This window comes from Homo sapiens, chromosome 1, assembly GCF_000001405.40.
Source record: "Homo sapiens chromosome 1, GRCh38.p14 Primary Assembly".
Classification (NCBI taxonomy): domain Eukaryota; kingdom Metazoa; phylum Chordata; class Mammalia; order Primates; family Hominidae; genus Homo; species Homo sapiens.
In genome coordinates, this window is record NC_000001.11 from 61260599 (window position 1) to 61280105 (window position 19507).

At 37.6% G+C, this 19507-nt stretch overlaps 1 protein-coding gene across 4 annotated transcripts in view; it reads left to right on the forward strand.

The window, feature by feature from the left end:
- Positions 1-19507, forward strand: part of NFIA (nuclear factor I A) — a 385562-nt gene that overhangs the window by 183372 nt on the left and 182683 nt on the right. For all 4 annotated transcript variants that reach the window (NM_001145511.2, NM_001145512.2, NM_001134673.4 and 1 more), the window contains one exon: positions 16922-16987. In NM_001145511.2, the coding sequence (NP_001138983.1) occupies positions 16922-16987 (66 nt within the window). The remainder of the gene's footprint in view (positions 1-16921; positions 16988-19507) is intronic.

A 19507-nucleotide genomic window follows, 5' to 3' on the forward strand; every position in this document is an offset into this window, starting at 1 on the left:
GAGACGGAGTCTCGCTCTGTCGCCCAGGCTGGAGTGCAGTGGCCTGATCTCGGCTCACTGCAAGCTCCGCCTCCCGGGTTCATGCCATTCTCCTGCCTCAACCTCTGGAGTAACTGGGACTACAGGCGCCCACCACCAGGCCCGGCTAATTTTTTGTATTTTTAGTAGAGACGGGGTTTCACCGTGTTAGCCAGGATGGTCTCGATCTCCTGACCTCATGATCTGCCCACCTCGGCCTCCCGAGGTGCTGGGATTACAGGCGTGAGCCCCTGCGCCCGGCCAAGAAATTTTCATAGAGTTTCCACTTCCTTGGTTGCTGAATGATTTGTAATATTGTAATCAGTATATCTATGACACAATTTCTAAAGTTATTTAGTGTTTGTCAGTGATGTCTGAAGCTCCATTTGCTCTTTTGAAGTCATTTGTTTCTTAGGACCTACAATTCTTAGGAAAAAATGACTTACAGTCAAATAATTTAGGAATTTTAGGGGAAATCTGGAGCCCATTTTATTTAGTGGCCTTAAAGATGAGGTACATAAGACCCAGGCTAACCCAGCTTCTAACAGTTGATTCTGAATCCCAGGTTTCCTGATTCTGAACTTGATGTCCATTTTGAGGGGTTGTTAAGCCAAATACCTTCAAGCTTTTCCCCTCTGTTGCACTCACATTTATGAATACAGATGGTCTCTAACTTAGGATGGTTCAACTTAAGAATCCACATTCCATAAAAATGGGACTTTGATTACCCATACAATACTGGTTTTCACTTTCAGTACAGTATTCAATAAATTACATGAGATATTTAACACTTTAATATAAAAGAGGCTGTGTGTTAGATGATTTTGCCCAACTGCAGGATAACGTTAAGTGTTCTGAGCACATTTAAGGTAGACTAGCCTAAGCTGTAATGTTTGGTAGTTTAGGTGTATCAAATGCATTTTCAACTGATGATACTTTCAACTTCCAATGGATTTATCAGGATGCAACCCCCATCATAAGTCGAAGTGCATCTGTACTTACTTTAGACTAAACAGGAATAATAAAGTACTCTAGGAGAAGAGAACTCAGTAAGAGGTTAACTTTACGTGGAAATGTTACAGGCCTAATGTAAGGTACAGCCAACAACAACAAAAAAAGCAAGCTGGCGATCTGCCTTCCATGCAAAGGTTATTTTTCTTATTACAACAAAACTAATTAGTGGATTTTCTAATGTAAGAAAATGTTGCTGTTAGTAAAAGTTTCCTCAGTGTGCCAGAAAGCAGATGGTGGCAGTGAATAGTGTTTTCTTTTGCCAGGTTTTGTATATGCTTTCTAAACCTGCAAGAGATTTTGCTTTTCCAGATTCAGATTTCTGATCTTTTTTATTTTAAAACAGAAATAGAAACTTATATTTAAATGTACTTGCATCATGTGGTCTGTTTGACATATTATGGTTACTTGAAAATGTTGAGTAACATTTGATGTTCTGCATGAATTTCTTCTCTAAGAGTCTTGGGACTTTTAATGTTGTTCTATACTCTCTCTCTTTATGGAAATAAAGAGTTTCTGCCTTGAGAGTGCTACAATGGGGAGTTTTGAGTGATTTATGAAAAGCAATGGGTAAGATTTTTTTATGTGAAAATTTGTATTTTGTTTCACTCCCAATTACTGTGCAAGTACCAGCTTTTCACAGTGAGGTTTCTTACAGCATGACTTTGTTCATTATGACTTCAGTGTTTGTATACAGTTTTGAATAATTTATTTCTGTCTACTACTGGTGAGATGTTACTTTCTGCTAATTTAAAATGTTTTGCCTAACGTTTTTAATGAAAGTCCTTATAAATATGTTTGTTTAAAGTCTGAAATCTAAACATGTCCTTAACAGTACCAACGAGGCAGCATTAAAACAAAAGGCATGTTGATTTTAAGGCCAACTGGAAGAATGTATATCTACAATGGTGTAGACGTGAGGCTGTAATGAGCATGAGTGTAGTCAAGACTTATGGCTTTGTTGACTAAAACTTAAGAGATGCTTTCCTTTCTATAGGACCTCCATTTAGAGGAGAAAAGGAAATCATTAAGTCAATAGATGAGTTATTAAAGTATAAAGTAAAAATGGAAAATGAAAACACACTCAGTGATTTTTTTGGAAATCATTTGGGCAAAAGTATCAAGAAAGAATTGTCTCAAAGTTACTAAATGGAATAGTCTCCTTATGGAATTATGTGCTATTTTGGGAGGTGATAGCCAGAATCAAAGGAAATGAAAGAAGGACTTTCATCCCTTCTTTCACCTCATTCCCATGTAGCTCTGCTGTGTTGTTCCATCCATCCCCAACACTAACCTGATAATTCGGAGACACCTTGCCGCATATTGTTTCACCTTTAATTCTTGAATAAACTCTGATTCTTACTTATAACTTTTCCCATGTTTGTTGCCAATAAAATTTCCCATCTCATTTGAAGAGTTGCTATTTCTGTCACCTGTTCAAAGGATAGCACTTCTTTTATTACTACCTCTTTCTTTTTCCTTTTCCAACTATTTCTCCTTTGACTTTGTTTTTCCCAATAATGATTTGTTTTTATCTTCTTTCCTAGTAACCAAAAATTAAAACAGGACAGAGTTTCCAAAGGAAATGTCTGTAGATGTTAACCAAACTGATTGAATCACTGGTTATTCTTTGCTTACTTTAAGGCTGTAAATCTGCAAAAAGACAGAGGTGATACTGGTATCACTCACAGCCACAGGTTAGTGCCTTGGCTGTGCTGATGCTGCCAGGGTTTAAACATTGCTGTGAGGAGCCCAGCACAGGCAGGAGTGTGGGGTGAGGATGTGTGATAACAGGGCATGACGGGCAGGTAGAACTGCTCGCTTGTGTTTTACACACAGGCGCCCCAGCCTTCCTATAGGCTCTTTCTTGTGAATAGGCTTCCACCATGACCAAAATGTTTGAAAAACCGTAAAGCCAAGAGATAAGTAATTTTTGTTGAATATAAAATAGATAAGCCATTACCTATTCATAGGAATATTTACCTCCTGATAGACTTTGGCAAGGGTTCTAACACAGAGACACTCCATGTTCTCACCACCAGTGAAGACGAGGGAAGTAGCTACTCTCAAAAAACAAATAGCATTGGCTGGGCACGGTGGCTCACGCCTGTAATCCCAGCACTTTGGGAGGCTGAGGCAGCTGGATCACTTGAGGCCAGGAAGTCAAGACAAGCCTGGCCAACGTAGCCCTGTCTCTACTAAAAATACAAAAATTAGCTGGGCATGGCAACATGCACCTGGAGTCCCAGCTACTCACGAGGCTGAGGCAGGAGAATCGCTTGAACCCGGGAGGCAGAGGTTGCAGTGAGCAGAGATCACACCACTGCACTCCAGCCTGGGTGGCAGAGTGAGACTCTGACTTAAAAAAAAAAAAGTGTAAACTTTTATAAATGATACAGAGTTGAATGAATGGAATTCTTGGTGAACATGATGAGCTATCTCAAGACTGAATAATGCTTTGCACACAGTAGGTGATAACAAATGTTTGAGGCCCTGACATAAACAAGCTTCCTCCTCCTAAGAAAGGTTAATCAATAGTCATTCTTTAGAGTGAGGGATCCATGCTGATTTTTGAAAAGTGAATCAGAGTAAAAGTTCCAATCGCCCTCTTGGACTTTTTGATGATCAGCTATTGAAATAGCACGTATGTTAGAGACAGTCCTCCCAGCAAACATGATTTTCTATTAAAATACATCCAGGTGACAAAAAAGAAGCTTTTAGAAAAAAAGAATTTGACTGAGCGTGGTGACTCACGCCTATAATCCCAGCGCTTCAGGAGGCTGAGGCGGGTGGATTGCTTGAGCTCAGGAGTTCAGGACCAGCCTAGCCAACATGGTGAAACCCTGTCTCTACTAAAAAATACAAAAAAGAAAAAGAGCTGGGCATGGAGGTGGGCGCCTGTAATCCCAGCTACTCAGGAGGCTGAGACGGGAGAATTGCCAGAACCCGGAAGGCGAAGGTTGCAGTGAGCCGAGATCGCACCATTGCACTCCAGCCTGGGCGATAAGAGCAAAACTCCACCTTACAAAAAAAAAAAAAAAAAAAAAAAAAAAGGATTTCCCGAAGGTAGTTTATTTGGCAAATCCCACACAAACTATTAGTAGTCCTTATACGAAGACAATTTAATTTTGGGATTATTACTAAGCAAATTACTCACAAATACTGAGTTACTGAAATGGAAAATATTTTTATCTCCCCCCAGTGTAACTACAGACAAGAATGTAGATAGTGTACTTAGGTGTAAATGACAGATGGAATGAACTTTGGGTGAAGGCGAGAGCACAGAAGCTCAGTGGTACTGAGCTGGGTTTGAGTGGGTGGGACCCCATGACTGGTTACTGATCTTTGAAAGCGTTTCAGGATTTCAAAGCTACATAAGCGAATTCACGTGTTTTAGTTATCTAGGTTTGTTTTTTCCTTGTTATATAGGATGTTTGCAGTTTTCCCATTTGTATCAACTCATACATCTTTGAAGTTTTGTAATTCAGTATAGCTTTGGTTATAGATTAAAGTTCACTGGAAAATCACTGACTAATCCTTTTAGCATGTTCCACTGTTCCATAGTATAAAGATACACAGAACTTGATGGCTTCCAAGTGTGGTTCAAACATCCAAAGCACTCGAGATTAGCACCATGTGAAGAAATTTTAAAATATTGTACTGCAATTAATTTTAAATAACTTAGCACTGCATATGTCAGGGAGAAAGCCATGGTAGAATTCAAACAGAAGCTCCTATAAGTGAAATGATTCACTTACATCATTTAAATAATTTTATCTCTCATAAAGACATAGAAGCAAAATATATGCCTATTTCCACTTAGGAAAGGCTTGGGTGAATTTCTGAAGAATCAGATATTACCTGAGGTTTATTATAATATGGGAAGTCTGTGGAGCATTTATTGGTTACCAAATGATTAACTCCCTATATTCATGTGTATTTGTTATAGGTTCAAAAACCAAGTTATTACAGAAAAGTTATTGTCAATGTGGAAATTGAAAACACATTATTTTAATAATATAACGTAGAGAAGGTATATCTAAAATACATATTTTTAAGTATTATCCTAAATTCTAGGATCTAGATTAAATTCTTTGAGGATATCTTTTTAGTAGCTCCTGAAACACAAAGTTTTCTGGAAGACCCGATGGGTCAAGATATAAAGGAAAAAACTTAGTTTATGGCCTTCTGTGGTCAGGGGTTAGCCAAGTCACTGAAAATAAACATTTGCAACTGTTAGTGGGCTATTTGCGGTCATTTATAAAGTATAATAAGACACAGTTTATGACTTGTAGTGATTATTGCACTCATGTTATTTCTAATTGCACTTATGATCAGCAGCAAATAAGCAAATATCACTCAGTGCCTTTTGATGAAATGAGAGTCTTAGCCTTGAATGCAGCCGAAGACCAACAGCTCAATTGCTAGTGATGTGTTTCAAATGTAGAAAGGCTGGAAAGAACCTTTGCTGAACACCTAACCCTCACCTTCATCTATAGATATTCTGGCCTGGAGAGGTAAGAATTTACATATCCAAGGGAAAATGGGTGATTTACGACCAGAAAGTAGACCTCCTGACTCCCATAGAGACCCTTCTTACCACATGAAACATACCATCTTCCAGTCATAGAGTCTCCTCCAAACCAGAAAGAACACCCCAAACACCTATTGACCTTTCCCAAGAGAGACCCTATTGTATTTTATGGCTCTGAAAGAGCTAATTTTTTTTCTTTCTTTCTTTATTTTTTATTTTATTTTATTTTTATTTTTGAGACGGAGTTTCACTCTGTGTCCCAGGCTGGAGTGCAGTGGCACGATCTCAGCTCACTGCAACCTCTGTCTCCTGGGTTTAAGCCATCCTCCCGGTTCAAGCAATTCTCCTGCCTCAGCCTCCCAAGTAGCTGGGATTACAGGCATGCTCCACCACGCCCAGCTAATTTTTGTATTTTTAGTAGAGACGGGGTTTCTCCATATTGGCCAGGCTGGTCTCAAACTCTCCTGACCTCAGGTGATCTGCCCACCTCGGCCTCCCAAAGTGCTGGGATTACAGGCATGAGCCACTGTACCTGGCCTGAAAGAGCTATTTTTTCATCTTTGTATTTAAATTCCATTTCAACAAACATGTGTTAGTATCTGTATGTTCCAGGCATGGTGCTATCTGCCAGTAAAAATGAGACAGAAAATTAAATAGCATGATGCTTTAACCAGTCTATATGCTTTAGAAAACCTGCTTCCAAGCAGTGAACAGTTAGAGAATTATAGCCACTCATAATTTACAAGGCACTGTAAATCATGCCATTCAGTCCTGGTACTCTCTAGAGTCAGGTATTTGGAATGAGTCAGTTGAGGTTCAGGGAGGTAAAGGGGCTTGCCCAATTCCTCAAAGCTAATATAAATAGCCAAGAAGGGACTCAAACCCAGGTTTTCTTTTATCATGCCTTTTGCCTTTTTTCACTATACCATAGCTACTTCTGGTAGAACTGTCATTTCTATTAAAGGGAGGATACCAGGCCTAATTCAGAATAACATTCTGTACTATGTATGCAATTGTTTCTAAGGAGAAAAGTCTGATTTAAAAAAAAATATTTTTATACTTTTAGGCTGGGTGCCGTGGCTCATGCCTGTAATCCCAGCACTTTGGGAAGCTGAGGTGGGTGGATCACCTGAGGTCAGTAGTTCGAGAGCAGCCTGGCCAACATGGTGAAACCCTGTCTCTACCAAAAAACACAAAAATTAGCTGGGCGTGGTGGCAGCACCTGTAATCCCAGCTACTTGGGAGGCTGAGGCAGGAGAATCACTTGAACTCAGGAGGCGGAGGTTGCAGTGAGCCGAGATTGCACCATTGCACTCCAGCCTGGGCAACAAAGGGAGACTTCGTCTCAAGAAAAAAAAAAATTGGATACTTTACACCATTTCCAGCAATGCTAGTTATGCAGTAATAGCTTAATATTTCACTTAAAAAAAGATTCTGCCTAAACCTCTCTTTATCTCACTAGAAGAGCTAACCCTAACCACTACCACCGCCAGTTAGTATCAGGGCTGCTGTAAATTGTTCCAAGGGTACATTTAGTGGTATTGATTGCTGCTAATAGTAAAAGAATAAAAGCAATTATGAATGTACACAACAACTTGTTGCTCTACCCCAGTTTCACCAGGAGATAGGATTTAGTCAAGAGGGGATGTCACAGAATCTTTATCCTGATTAGGAGCTTTTTGAGGGGAGGGACCTTGCCTTTTTTCATTTTGTATCTCCAGGTATACAGGGTGAAAGGCACCATAGTAGATGCCAAGCGAATGAATGAATGAACGAGATGGATAGGCCCAAAGACAACTAAATCAAAAAACCTGTGTTGTTTCAGAGGAGAATGATCCAGTATCATTTCCCCTTTGGGTAGGAGTAGTGGTATGAATATTGCTATGACTGCAGAATCCCAGACTTGTCTAGAATCTCTAGTTATAGCTTTCCTCAGCAGTGGGATTCACCAACACACTGAAATAACCTGTCTGTGGCAAAACTCCATACACAATCCTGTTTTCTCAAATGCTTCAAGGGGAAAAGAAATTCCTGATTTACCCAACCACAGAATCTTCAACCTTCTCATTAAGGCTTCTGCATTTTTTAGGCAAATTGTTACTGTGCCATTCTTACTCCTATCCTTTCACAGAATTATTTTCTGATTATGGATATGACAAGACCCAGTTGATTTTTTCAGAGTTTAGTCATTTATTCTGTGGTTTCAAATCTCTTCTACCATGTTATCTTCCTGCCCCTCTACTCCCCTGCCCCCACCCCCCGACACCAATTCTTAATTCCCTTTCTTCCTTTTATTCTCACCAGGAAGGGATATGTCACAGTAAACCCTACCACCTTGTCATCCAAAATTTCTAGGGAGCCTTAGTTCTGAGGGTCTTCTTCTTGAGGCCTTAACCTTACTTTTAGACAGTTGTCATTATCTTTGTCTAAAGGTCATAGCTAAATTGAATAAAAGGAAAGCTGTGTTTTCCTGTTGATGCACAAAGGCAGTATTGACTTCCCTAATCCAGTTTGCTGAGGGGTGAGAGAATTAAATTAGATATCTAAGCACAGAAATTGAGAGCCTTTGAAAACAAAGATAAGGAGACAAGACTGTATTTTCCCTTTTCCTGGGAGCTCTGGGCTCAAGATTTTGCAGGTGTGTCATCTGATCCATGGCTTGCATCGATCAAAACTGTGCCAATGCATATTTAATTAGCAAGGGGACCCTGGATGCATTATAGCCATCATCCCTATATTGAATGGACTGTCAGACTCTCCGCACACTTCTCCACCCCCACCGTCCCCTGAACCCGTGCTCCCTCCCTTGCCTCGTTGTTTGGGAAGCTTCTGCATTTTGTCTGAGCAGCTAAAAAGTTTCTTTGTTTTTAGCTGCTGATGCATACAGCGCCACTGAGGAGAATACAAACAAGTAGAGTCCTAAAGTGTTTATTTTGTCTAGGAAGACAAGCTAAACCAATTTGATTCCTTCGGTAAGATTTTCAAACCCTGTAGAAAACCGACAAGAAAAGCAAAAAGAAAATGAATACACTGTTCAACTCTTCACGTATAGAATTTAAAAAAAAAAAAAAGAATTGGTTATATTAGGAATAAAGAAGACTTCGGACAAATATTTTAATAATAGAATTAAAGAATACTTTCTATTATGATAGAAGGTATTTTATTTTAAAAGCTCTGTTTTGATACTTAAATAAGACATTTGTTGTTGGCAAATATTTTATTGATCAGTCTAATTTGCTTGATGCAATTCACCATTCTGACATGAATCTGTCATTACCATTAGGAAATCCAATGCCTGTACAAAAGTTATTTATGATAGAAGGTGACAAAGAGTTAGAGCTGGATGTATTTTTTTTTAAAGTTTCTAAGGTTTTGTGGGTGTTTCTGTTGGTGAGAATTCTTAAAGTGCAGGAGGTTTGGAGTTTTGCCACAGACAGGTTATTTCATGGGATTATGGTCACTGTTCATTTTCACACAGGTTCCAAAGCTTGAATATCCAGACAGTGTTGTCTGATAAACAGATGTAATGCACCAAGTCTGCTTAGAATAAAGAGCAACAGACTGTGAGCACATGTTTAGGACTCATTTAAACTCATCAGCATAGTCTAGCTCATAGTTCTCTGTCTCTAGTCTACTTTTGAGGTAGCTTCTTGCTGGTAAAGTAACAAGGAATTATTTTTTCTCTGCTACAATTTGCTGCAGAGACTCATGGGAAATTCATTTGCATACATCTTGTTACAAAGACTGACTACTTCCTGGCTTAGACAAAGTGTTGCCTGATAAACAGACTTAACACACAAATGTCTGTCTGGAATAAACAACGGCAAGCTGAGATTTACATTTCATTATCAAAGATAATCTCTTTCCCAGTATATGAGAATTAAGAACCTGTTCTTTAAAACCAGGTCTGTGCTCCTGATGTTTTATACTAGAATCACATCATGTGTCGGTTGGGGTTGATTTTCACAAAGAAACGAAAAACTTGTTGGGATGTGAAGATCTGTAGGGCAGAGGTAAATGTACATTTTGGGGGGCCTTTATGAGTTTCAAAACCAGGTTTTCTTGCTTTATTTTATTTGAACCACACAACATCCTGTTAAGTTAGGCAAAATCATCAGTAGTGTCTCCATTTTACAGATGAAGAAACTGAGATCCAGCACAGTTAAATTATATAGCTGAGGTTTCTAGGACACCATCTTTTTACCATTTCATACTCTTTTCAATGGTGGAATATGAATGCAAGAAAATTAGTACTTTAAGGTGCTACCTGGACTTAAATAGCATGTTTACACTTGATAGAGGGCATTTTATTATTTCAATAAAAGTTTGTGCAGACATCCAGGTACATGAAAATAATGCATGTAGATTATAACTCAATTATCCTTCATTTTCATTTGAAGCATGTATTTTATAGTAGGAAAGAATACAGGGACATTTTCTACATTAAGTAGTATAGATGGCTGTATGAGTAATCTTCAAGTATATATCATCCTGTTGAAGAACTCCAAGAACCTAGTGTTAAGATTAATTTTGATTGTGAAAAAAGTGACTAAATGGGGAAATTAAGCACAATTCTGCTATGCAATAATGTTGCAGGGATGGCTTTTTAAGCAGGTCTTTGTTTACATGGGAGTGGGTAGGTGATCGGGTAGACTCAATAACTTGAGTTCTGAATTAATCAGCAGGCACCGCTGTGAACACAGCGCCTCTTATGGGGAAAACAAAATTCAAAATGATTACCTAGACATTTTAGTTTAGTTTAGTCAAAGCGTCTTCTCAAAGAAAATGTGAGAAGTTACAAACTTAGTCAAAGTATCATGTTTGCCTGTCTTTTATAATCACCAGCTTCTTACCATTGACTTCATTTATAACATCACTGAAAAAGCTGATCATTACTTGAAATTCAGCCTCATGCGAAGATTGAAGGTTTAATGATTGAGTCATTTTGTCATTACTTTCAGAGTGACTGAATTTGTCATTTTTAAAGCTTAGAAATGATCCTCCCCTCACTGTCATAACACAACAATAGTTATGCCATTTCATTTTTTTCTCAACGTGTTAGAACTGTGTATCATTCTGCAACCTCCTTGTGCATGTAGAAAAATAACACATTGATGAGTAGGTGATAAGGCAGTTGACTCACTCTTCAACTTAAACAGTCTTATCATCGTACACAGTACCGACTAAACAGATGGGCCCTGGAATACCAACATTAATGAAATACCAGAAAAGTTGAATTTCTGTAAATTTAATATTTCACAAACTTGTGGCCAGAAAGGCATTACAAAAAGAAAAGTTTTGAGAAAGAAAATGGTAGTAACCTAGATTATGTAACAGTCTTAAGTAGGCCTTGACAATGCGGTACAGGGGAGTGACTAAGGGGTGGATCTCCAGAGCAGCTGGCAGCCCCCAGGGTGGTCTGGTGGAGGGAGCCCTTCCAAGTGGCTGCTGCAGGAACACAGACCTTGCTCCCTGTCTGAATCAGGAGTAGAGGAGATGAGGACCAATGCGTGCAAACTAGCCTGGTCCTTTTGGAGCTAGGAGTTCCCCTGCACCCCGCCACAGCTCCCCATCTCCCTTCGATAAAGGACTTACTCTGCATACATTAATTACTGCAGTTACCGTGTACATATATCTAGACAAACACTCAATTCTAGCTTGCTGGGAAAGTTATAAAGATGAAATTTTGTATTTAAAATCCAGTAATGATAAGATTTCCCATTTAAAGAACCACAGAGTGTTTCCATTTTTAAAGCTTAAGAAAACTTTTATGGTATGACTCACCTCATCTTTTATCTGTTTTAGGAACTCGGTTATTGTACGTTAATTTTCATTAAGCGGGCCACAGTTGTGTACATTAATTGACCTTAAATATTAGTTTGGTTATTCACTGAGCTTAAAAGATTTTATTCATTCTCTGTAAATGCTAATCATAATTGCATATTTTCGGTGGTCCGGATTTAGTAATGGTGTTACAGATTTCTGTTTGTTCTTAACCAGACCATGATGGATAATATTATATTTAGCTGATGGTGTTGTATTCATCAATGTTTACCCTTAAGCTACAAATTGTATATACATGTGTACACCTGTACGCTGACATTCTACATTCTCAAATAAGGTTTTTCCAATATTTTCTTCACACGTCAGTCTTTAAGGTCACGGTCATACTGGAAAAAATAGATAATTTTCCTAAATATTACAAAGTATTACAATAATAATTTCTTTTATAACTGCAGCTGTGAGACTAATAAGCAAAATGTGACTATTATAGTTATTTGATTTTCTGGATTTCGTTAATGTAATAAACTTATGGTACTGGCTGATCAAAACAGAGTAATTTTAAAAATTATGTTACTCATAAGAACAGAATTATTTCTCTATTACAACCTTATAGATGTAGAAAAATGAATTCCTTGGCCTCTTCTGCAGAGTACTTATCTTCCCAAACCCTCAGAAACTAAAACTTATCTAAATTTTGAACATCTTTAAGGTCTACAGTTGTAGAGGGTAACTGCTTATTACACTCAGAGTGTAATCACCCTTACTCCTTACTTTCTTTTACCTCAGAAATGTTCCTAACTCTTCATTTATTTGCAGGAAAGTATTCACTCCTGTCTTTGCCTTTTAGTTTTTATACTACAAACAACTCTAGCTCATGAGAGTGGAATTTTCGCTTTATTTCTTTCACTAATATTTTTGGGTTTGGATGCCTTCTGGTTTCTTCATACCGTCTTTTAATTTGGGAGATTTAAAACTGGACATAAAATTCTAACAAAGGCTCTTCAGACTTCATCTTTAGCCAAATCATTATGCATGTAGGGAGGCTGAAACTTAGGCTATATTATTTTTCTAGTGGAACCAGAATTTGTGCTTTTATGGTCCATAGACTTTGGTTGCTATCGTGTTGATGGACCAGGAATGACATCGGTTTGTTTTAGGGTGGGAAGGGTTCCTCACCAGTGTGTCTGCTTTTCCTTTATCAAGAAATTCACAACAGCAGTTGTGAGGATTTTGAGGCAGTCTACAGGCACCAGAATATGGTGGGTTTCTCTAATCATTGTAATTTTTAAATGTGTGAAATATTCCTCCATCATTCATCATTTTAACCTGTATACATTTCTGGAGGGCCTCCTATGTGTCAGATACGGCTTCAGCTCAGCCTCTGTGCTGCTTGGGCCAGTGGATCATAGGAGGTGATTGTCTGCAATTTCTAAACACTGTGTAAGATTTCCAAACCACTCACAAACCAGAGGGATATGCCCTATATTCCCTTGCCAGGTCTCAAGAAGCAAGGCATCAAGCAGAGATAGAGGACTTTTTGCGCTCCTTTCTCATCTTAGAAGTCCCACTCCCCTTTCAGGTGTAAGCTTAGCATATTTTTCAGTCACTGACAGTGGTTCAGTATCAGAAAGCTGAACAACAATTGAAATTTCGTCTCTTCAGTTCAGCAGTTATTGAACTCCTTGGCTGGGCCAGGCACCCTGTGGAAAGTACCGGGGATAAGAGAAGAGTAGGAAGGAACTCCTTTCTTTAGAAGCTGACATTCTCAGATGGTTTGAACTCACCTTACTACAGCATAATATTAATCACACTGTAAGAGATACATTTGCAATGAAAGAGGGACTGGAGAGGACAAAGTGTTTAATTCTAGGTGAAAGGGAAGATTTAGCAATATTCTATCTTTGTTTATTGCCTAAAGAACATAAAATACATGGAAGGGATATTTATATTTTTGCCTCACTCATTTTACCATACTAACATGTTTTTGTCATTCCTCACCTTCCCCAAAGGAATACTGAAGTTTCATTCTGAAGGGGAGTAGACCTGAGGTTTGAGGAGCCGAATATGTGTACATGTAGCAAATCCAGTACAAGGTTTCCGTTCTTGCATTGTACAAGCGTTTGGAAGCAGAGACAAATATGTAGGCATCAGGATTTATTTTATTCCTTTCCCTAGTGATTACGTTGACAGTGAACTATCTTTGTCTGAGTACTCCAGCAATATAGCTGTAGGCGCCATAAAACTGCATAGGTGGATGGCTACCAGTTCAATTAAGAGTTCTTAACCTAGCCTCCCATATGCAAACCCTGTCTATTTTAGGTTTAAATTTCTGCTCATAAATTTTTTAAAAATCCAAAGAAACATTGCTTTTCAAGGTTAGGTTGAAGTCTAAGTTTCCTTAAACAAAAAGCAAATCCCTAGATAGGGAAAAAAAATTGATAACCCTAATGTACTTCCTTACAAGAGCATTTCCAACCCCATCCTTTAAACACAGTGTAAGTAAAATTCTCTTCATTGTAATATACAGATCTTCTGGCTTTCAACCAGTAAGCCAGAGAAACTCACTGGTATGGGAGACTCAGATACAAGAAGAACATCCAGTTCTATGCAGTTGGGTTTGTTTTCTGAGGTTCCTAATTATTTAAGGTGGTAGAAATCAATCAACCACGTGATATTTGTCCGAAAGAGTAAGACACAAAGTTACCTTGGCTTCTGACAGGTGTCTATGGAGTATATAAAGGAGAAAAGTGAATTAATTGTTAACCTTCTTGATAGTGTTTTAATGCAAATGTTTGAGAAAGAGATCTTTCATTTGTATCAATTATACCTGGGTAGAAATTAATTTATAATTTTGGTCATCTGGTTGGCTCCACACTTAACAGCATCAGTGACCTTTTGCAATACCAGAAAGAGTGTCCATGCATCCTCAGCAGAGAATAGCACTAAGACTGGGTAGTTTTGCTCCTTCTTGGCTGAAAAAGAAAATGGTATTGAACGGCCGAGGGTAGAAAATAATTATTGAAGTTTTGAGATCATATGCATTTTCTTGTAGATCTTTGGCTTTGCTTGCCCCTTAGCAGGATGGTGCATTTTAGTATGCAGTCCTCAGATGGATAGCGGTGTCTCCAGCTTTTGAATAAAACTAGAAAAATTAAATTCCGTTTTCAGTTTGGCTGGATGCCTTCTCCAGTGTTTGTATCTGAGCTTTCACGAGAATGCGGCGGCCCCTTGCAGACCAACTCTGAGCATTTTCTTGCCACTCACTCCTTTGCTGTTGGTTTGCTTATTTTTCTGTGGCTTGGAATTTTAAACTTTCTTTGGACATACCTAATATTCATCTTTTATTGTTGTTCATGTTTTCTATTATTATGCTATGTATCTGTAAAGGTAGGTGACAAATTTAAACAAAAAGTGAAAAGAAGAAAGAAGTCTGCTTTCAGATTAAATAAAAAAAATTTAGGGTCTTTCCTGATCCCTTTTTGCTTTAATATTCATGGATAAATATCGGAAAAGTAATTGGCTATTGTATATCTAATAATTGAGATAAAACTATTTTCCATTTATTCATAGAGAAGTGATTAATTATAAAGATATTACACATAGAAGTAGTACATGGATAGAGATGTATGTTTGCTAGTATTATTCCAAAGAAAATATTATGTTTGGCAAAATTTTATGTATCTGTTTCGGGACATGATCAAGAATTTTAATTTTCCCTAAAACAAAATTAGATATTTTGCTTTCATTTTAGTTATAGAAATTAATGGTTTAAGATTTTCCAGAACAAAAACAATGGAGGCATGTCTTTCTCCTAAAATACATTGAATTACTACTCAAAATATTTAATGTGTAATTTCTAATGGCAAAATTATAGGCTTGTTTCCTAGAAGAAAAAGAAGGTAGTCATGCTGTATTTTTTAATTGTTTGTGATATATATAATATTAATTTATGTAGTTAAAATTTTAAATATGGGTCAATGTAAATTTGTTTGCATTTCTAATTTTTAGTCTAGGTTTTGTATTTTTGTAGTTTATTCTGAAGGATTTCTTTAAAGGTTTTTGGCATATAATAATACATTTTGTTTGTGTCTTCTCTGTGGCAATTGTTACAGAACGATAAAAGCTGTCACTTTGCCAGACTCAAATAAAAATTCACTTTTTAGCATCTTCTGTTATTTAAACCTTTGAATCAACATAGAATTTTTGCTATAGTCACCAGGTTAAGATTATCTGAAAATTTTAAAATGGATATTTTTTGCTATAGCACTTTCTTATAAGTAAAATCTTCGTTTGCTTAAAAGCAGGGAGTCTTTTAAAGTAATAAATTAGCATTTCTAGACCTAAGGTCACTAGTAGTGCCACTTCTTTCTGCAGCATCTCCAAGAAAGAGAAGGGTGATGCTATAACTCAGTTGCTATAGAAGTAATATTTTCTGTTTAATCACAGTTAAGTGTCATGACCTTTTGACCTTACATTAAACTTGCAGAAATGTGGTTAAATTTCAGGCAGCTAATTCAAAACCTGTGAAGTCAAGTTGAAGTTAGGATGCAAGCTCTCCGCAGATACAGAGGTTTTGTTGAAAAAAAATTTTTGTGTTTGCTTTTGAACAATGTTGTAAACGACTTCAAGTCTCAGAAAACGCTTTATTTTTAAATCAAAATTTTTCCCCTTGAAACATTTTGCCTGTTTTTTCTCTCCTCTCCCCAAAAACTGTACCATAAATATGCTTGTTTCTAATTTTGTGAAATTCTTTTGATCTAAGTTAATTTTATCTAATTTAAAAATTAAGTTACTTTGATTTTCCCTTATTTCATTTAGAAATTAAGTTAATCAAATTCCTTTTTTAGTTTGAAAATATGATTATATTTTTTAAATTAAAAAATGTTTAATTCTATAGAGGTGTACAAAAATCTGTTTTTGCAAACAAGTCCTTTTAGGATCTCCCAAATGCATCAGTACAAGAAAAAAATAATTCTTATAAAGCAGGGGAAACTTGTACCTTCAGAAAGACTTCTTTGAGTTATGCAGTTATTTCAAGAAAATGTGATGGAATATTAGGACTCTAGTATTTAATGGTGTTAGTCTGCGTAGTCTGTTGCTGGAATGCAGAGCTAAATATCAACAGAACTTGTTACTGTTGTTTGGGTTGCTTTTATATACCAGCTTCAAAATATGTTTTGACACTTTATTATGTTCTGAATCAAGCTTCAGATGTGTGTAATGAAGGATGAAGTCTTTATCAGACTCGAGTGTATAAATAGTGGAGAAGAGCAGTTTGGAAATGGTCTCTCTAAGAGAATGGTTGCTGAAGAGCTTCAAGTTGTGATCTGGCAAAAGCCAATGCCACCGTAGGTGTCCGCAAACCGGAGCGTCCTCTCTAAAGGCACAGGCTGCTGCTGCATTTCCCTCTCTTTCTTTTCTCTTTCCATCTTTTCTTTTTTTCATGTCTCATGTCATTTCTGTAATGTTCCCTTTCTTAGTTTATAGGTTGAACCTTTTGAGAAAGTCTGGCACCTCTGATGCACTTTCCCTTGCAGACCCTGTAATTTTTGGCTGTATTTTTATGTTTTTCAGATTCAAGTCAATCTGAAAGTCCCAGCCAGCCAAGTGACGCTGACATTAAGGACCAGCCAGAAAATGGTAAGTTTAGCTTGGGACTCTAGCTGCTGCTTTCAGAGTCCACAGCAGCCAGCAGGCCGACTAAGTGTGAGGATTTGGGGGCCTACCCTATAAGTAGCCCACAGTAGGAACAACTCCAAAGACTCGGAAAAACTCAAGTAGATTACTTTTAATAGGGCAGCTTCTTGTTCTCGGGATCACCCCAGCAGCCTCAGGACCCCCGGCCCTAAACACTATTAGGGTGCCCATGAGAACCTGAATTCCCAAGAACGTTGATTACCCAATTAAACTATGAGAAGTGGGGTTAATTTACCAAATCAGATTTTTTTTTAATAGCATTAAGTGAGGAGTCATGGCTTTTTCATTTCATTTTAGTTCTTTAATGTGGCAAATGCCCCATGATCATCTTCACTAGTGATTTAAGATCATTCATTCACAAGCAGTTTTAAGCCTTTTGGGAGCTCAACACTTTGCCAATTCCTTTAAGAAAAAAAAAAATATCTATGCTTTGAAGGATTTTTCTACCTTAAATTGTCTAAAATAAAATAGTGAGGATACAGGGCAGCATTAAATTCCACTGCTGCATAAATATCTAAATTTTCTGTTGCAGATGCTTTATTAAAATAGAACATACATTATATATGAATATCATAGTATCTGGTAAAATTTGAATTCGTGGCAGGCACTACAAGTATGAAAAATACTGTCATGGGTTGGAGTTTTATATTGAATAAAACTATCGGTTTCAATAAAAACAGAGACTTCAGTGAACTAGCAGTGCCTATCATATAACAAACATTGTGTTACATACTTTCACAGATATCATCTCATAAAATTCCAAAATGTTCTTCTTTGCTGATAGCACTGAGGACTCTGGTGGAATGCTTTACCTTGAAGGGCCTGTGGGGAGAATATGCCATTGTGATTAAAAGCTCAGGCTGTGGGCTGGGCGTGGTGGCTTTCACCTGTAATCCCAGCACTTTGGGAGGCTGAGGCTGGCAGATCACGAGGTCAGGAGTTCAAGACCAGCCTGGCCAACATGGTGAAATCATGTCTTTACTAAAAATAGAAAAATTATTCGGTCGTAGTGGCATGTGCCTGCTGTAATCCCAGCTACTTGGGAGGCTTAGGCAGGAGAATTGCTTGAACCTGGGAGGCAGAGGTTGCAGTGAGCTGAGATTGCGCCACTGCACTCTAGCTCTGGGCAACAGAGCAGAACATCTCAGGGGAGGCGGGGCGGCGGAAGCTCAGGCTGTGACCTGCATTCAAATTCTGCCTCTCCTATTTCTTACCTGTGTGATACTGAATAGGTTATTTAACCTCTCAGAGTATTGATTTATTCCTCTAAAACAGGGTAATAATATTACCTGTTTGTTGAAGAGTTAAATAAGATAATATGTGTAATGTGTTTACCATAGTATCTTTCATAGAGTTTATGCTTTAAAAATGTCAGCTGTGGTTCATTATGACTTTTATTATTTTTCTTGTCAATATAATTCTGTCATACTTTGTTTTTCACCCACTTTGAATGACCCCATTGCTTGAGTCTCTTCCTTTTGTTGTTCTGTACATTGTTCCATGTTGATCTCCATCCAATCTTTTGGAAAAGATAGGCAAACGGAATTATGTTGGTATTGTGGGGTGAAGGATCAAGTTTACCACATTAGCTATCCTATCACTGATTTTTCAGAATATGTTTCATTTCCTACCCATGAGAAATTTGATTACATTGCTGGATTCTAGCATTAAATATGGACTGCCTGGCAATTCCTCTCCTCATCCTGGTATTTTGGTGATATTTTCTTTATCAAAGTTGTCTTTTTAAAGCAGGCAGTTAAAAAAAAAAAAAGAGAGAACTCTGGAGGTTTGTTTTTAGTGTCATATACAGCTACATCTTATTTTTTGTTGACATTTTAAAGAGTGGTATTTATAGACTAGTTTCGTTCTTTATTTTCCACTTGACTTGTAGGTGATGTCTTCAAAGTTTCACTTTTTTCTACATATTGTATTTGTGCATAATCTCCCTAAAGATGTCTCCAGAGGTATAATTTTATTTTCATCTTCAAAAATGTGTGGACTGTACGGGTGTGTAGTTCGCGTATTTAGGTCTGGCCGCCCCTCTAGCAGGCCTGTGATTCATCTGTCTTCATAAAATGGCCAACAAGCTGTTCACATGCAAATATAAATTGAGAGCATGAGAGGCCTGGCATGCCTTTCTGGAGCTGCCTGCAATCCCAATATTGTGTGTTTCCCATTCCAGAAAGCAACCAGGATTGAGCCTGGATTTTTTGGCCAAAGGCAGAGAGATACTAGCCAAGTTCACTTTTAACCTCAGATCACTTGATGCTACTACCTCAAGGATTTACACTATCATTTTGGGGAAATCATGTGAGTTCAAAGAAAGAAAGTATTAATATCTAGGAGATAAAGTAATAAATTCCTATCTTTCAGTTTTCTATTTGTTTCAAAGAAAAAGTAGTAGAAGCTGGCTTATCTTAGCCCCAGTTGAAGAATTATCAGCCTACTCAGTTTTCTGCCTCT